Here is a 3792-nt window from a genome sequence, read left to right as displayed (position 1 = left end):
AAAATAAAAGGGAGGAGGGAAGAAGGAGAACATCAAAGACAGATTGAAATGTGTAGTTAGTAATAAGAGTGGTCTCCTCTTGAACCAAAGCCTGCAGCGATTCACGGCCCCCTTGTTAATGAGAAATTTTGACCTCTGGTTTGTAAGTTAAACTTGTAATCCCAGCTAATGAAGTAAATCACTTCCAACTCGAGTCTGTTGTTCCCTCTCTGCTTTGCACACTGGGTCTGAGAGCGGGGATCTGGGTCCAGGCACACAAATCGAGGGGAAGCAGAATTATTCTGTGACTGTATGGTTTCTTGCACGGTGAGAGTTTCTTGCTCACGGCCATCCTGTGGGCATGCATTGTGGGCCCATCAATTATTTTATTGTAACTTGCGTATTGATGAGAGAGAGCCTGTTAGGCTCTGGGTTGAAGGACACTGTGCAGGGAGTTCCGCTAGGGACCCTACCCACTACATTTCTTCATTCTTTAACAAATAGAAATGTGTGGCCAGGCGCAGTGGCTTACACCTCTAATCCCAGCACTTTGGGTGGCCAAGGTGGGTGGATCGCTTGAGGCCAGGAGTTCGAGACCATCCTGGCCAACATAGTGAAATCTCACTTCTACTAAAAATACAAAAACTAGCCTGGCGTGGTGGTGCATGCCTGTAATCCCAGCTACTCAGGAGGCTGAGGCATGAGAATCCCTTGAATCTGGGAGGTAGAGATTGCAGTGTGTCAAGATCACACCACTGCACTATAGCCTGGGTGACAGAGTGAGACTCTGTCTCAAAAAAAAAAAAGAAAAAAAAAAGAAAAGAAAAAAGAAATGTGCATTACTTAGCTCCATGCCAATGATTAAACATCAGGTTCAGTGCTTTGCACATGGTAGGAGTCAGTGCATATTTGTATAAGAAATGCTGCTGAATGGTCGGGTGCGGTGGCTCACACCTGTAATCCCAGCACTTTGGGAGGCCAAGGCAAGTAGATCACCTGAGGTCAGGAGTTTGAGACCAGCCTGACCAATATGATGAAAACTCATCTCTACTAAAAATACAAATACTAGTCGGGTGTGGTGGCATGCACCTGTAATCCAGCTACTCAGGAGGCTGAGACAGGAGAATCGCTTGAACCCAGGAGGCAGAGGTTGCAGTGAGCCGAGATCATGCCATTGCACTCCAGCCCAGGCAACAAGAGCAAAACTCTGTCTCAGAGAAAAAAAAAAAAAAAAGGAAAAGAAAAGAAAAAAAATGCTGCTGAATGGAGAAAATGCTATTTGGGTGACTTGGGGTTTTGAGGGAAGAAAGCACAGCTAAGGAATGTGAGTCCTAAAAAGGCAGGGCTGAGGAGTTTGAGCTGACTGACTTCTGGTTTATTGAGATTTGTGGGGTAGAAAGGAAAGAAAAGCCATGTGTGAAACTGGATACAGCTGGGGTGCTAAGGGCTTTCTTCTCCTAGTGACAGATTATAGCTGCAAGAAATGGTCTAAAAAATTACCCTATTTTAATTGCATGAGGGCAAAAGTAGGGTATCATACTATTGTTGTGTCTAAAATAGATTTCATTCAGAGAGTTGTTGACATTCTGCTTAATACTCAGAGAGACCTATTTTTATTTTTATTTGATTTAATGACAGAGCATGTTCTATTTCTCCCAGCTAGTCTAAATTCTCTCAATATTTTCCAGATCACTTTGCAAGTTATCTTAGCTTCTGATTGAGCAACAACTTTATTTAATTTTTTTTTTTTTTTTTTTTTGCCAGGAGACAACACAGCCATGCCGTATGGCACCACCCTTAGGGCAGTAACCTTTGGAGTTGAACTGTTTGGAGGGTGAATCTTTTGGAGTGGTTCTTTTTTTTCTTTTTCTTTCTTTCTTTCTTTTTTTTTTTTCGAGACTGGGTCTTGCTCTGTTGCCCAGGCTGGAGCACAGTGGTGATCACAGCTCACTGCAGCCTCCAATGCCTGGGTTCAAGCGATCCTCTCATCTCCACCTCCTGGGGTGGTCTTTTGGGGAATATTGTTTCTCCCACAAGTGGAGAATGCCTTTTCTGGAGTTCAGGCCACTAGCCCCCTTCCTAGGCTTTACCGGTGGTGGGGACATGGTAGCCCCTCTAACCTGCAGGGACCACAGGGAATCGGTGTGAGTTCTCAATGGGGAAGAGGCGGGTGCAGCCCCCTCCTCTGCCATTGGGGTCTTTGTGACAATTCCAAACCCCAAATGGAAAATGGGTCCTATTCAGAAGATAAGGGGAAGCTGACCCCTTTCCCCTCTCTCTTATATTGGACATTCTTGTCTCTCTCATACCCCTTGGCAGCTATCGACCTAAAAGGTTTCTGGAACCTTCTTCAAGTTCTCTGGGCATAGAGAGGGAGTTTGGGAGGGGGATGTTTTTAAACCACTGACTCCTGTTATTTCTGTTGAAGGGCACGCTGACATAGCCTCCTTGTGTCTCTCTGGTTTTTCATTAGACAAAGCAAAGCACTGGGGCATTTTTCCTGTTTGTGTGACCCCACGGAGAGCTGTGGGATGACCCCCCCAGGCAGAAAAAGTCACTGACCGGTGTCTGAAATCTGAGGATGTCGGTGGCCTGAGGCTGGGCGCGTAGGTCTACTCCAAACAACGGTGCATTCTCGATCAAGCAATTTGAATAATTTAATTTTTTTCCTCTGAATGTGAGCATGTATAAAATGTTAATTTCGTCAACAAGTGGAGAAAATGCCACAGTGAATCTGTTCTCAGATGGGATACCTGCTATGTGGAGAAGCCTGTTGAGAGGGCCGTGAACATCATCATGGTTTATTAGCTGCACAGGCTTTTCCCTTTGTTTCTATTCATTTAATTCAAAGCGAAACAACTCAGCATGCAAAACTAAAATTAGCTGGGAAAAAAAAAAGGTGTAAGTGAATAAACAGGCTGATCCATTAGAGTCGATGGGTTATGGGCTCCCTTGCCACTCCTCAGACAGCGGCCTATTAAAAGTGGTAATGTCCGCTGCCAGCAACACCCCCGGCAGAGAAAGAAGGCCGAGGCAGGCCTATTTCACATGCATCAGACACAAGAATTAAATAGACCAATGTTCCCTAAAAGACTGAAGTACATCTCTTTCTGACGTTCATTTCAGGCAAAAATTCATTGATCTCAGTATGTCCCTTGGCAATTATAAAATATTAAATCCAAGTCACACTTTTCTAGTTGGCTTAATTTTTTCTCTTTTCACAGCTTTCTATTTGATCAATTTTAACAAGTCAGGAATAGCATCTAATAATAAAAAAAAAGTGCAGAGTTTTAAAAGTTTGTTCTTTTGACATTCTTTCCTTTTTATTTTGTTTTGGGTTTGCATTAAGTTTGCGTTATAGAAAATGTCTTGGATGCTATTTTAACAAACAGAACATGAGAGAGCCAGAAGTTTCTTTATTGAGAATGATATTCATTAGTAGGCATTCAATGATAAAGACACAGCCTGATTTTAAAGATTTCCTTTTTTTTTTTTTTTTTTGCACATGTCTAAACAGCCTTCTTATTGTTTTGTAGTCATTAATGTTCTCCCATTCCAAAACTACCATGTGGTTTAAGCTAGGAGTATCAGATAGGGCTAGAGGTTTGCCTGCGCTCCACTGAGACTTACAAAAGATGCATATCCCTTTTCCCTATTTTTCTGCATATGTAATTTTTTAGCGTTTGAAGTTTGTTAATTCAGAATATAACATAAATGCTAGCATAGACACACACGATAAAAATGCAGAATTTGGGGAGCCTATTTTCATTAGAATATCAATACGGGAATTATCTGGGGAAAATGTTGCATAAT

Source organism: Homo sapiens, chromosome 19 (genome assembly GCF_000001405.40).
Source record: "Homo sapiens chromosome 19, GRCh38.p14 Primary Assembly".
Taxonomy (NCBI): domain Eukaryota; kingdom Metazoa; phylum Chordata; class Mammalia; order Primates; family Hominidae; genus Homo; species Homo sapiens.
Note: the sequence above shows the minus strand (reverse complement) of the source record.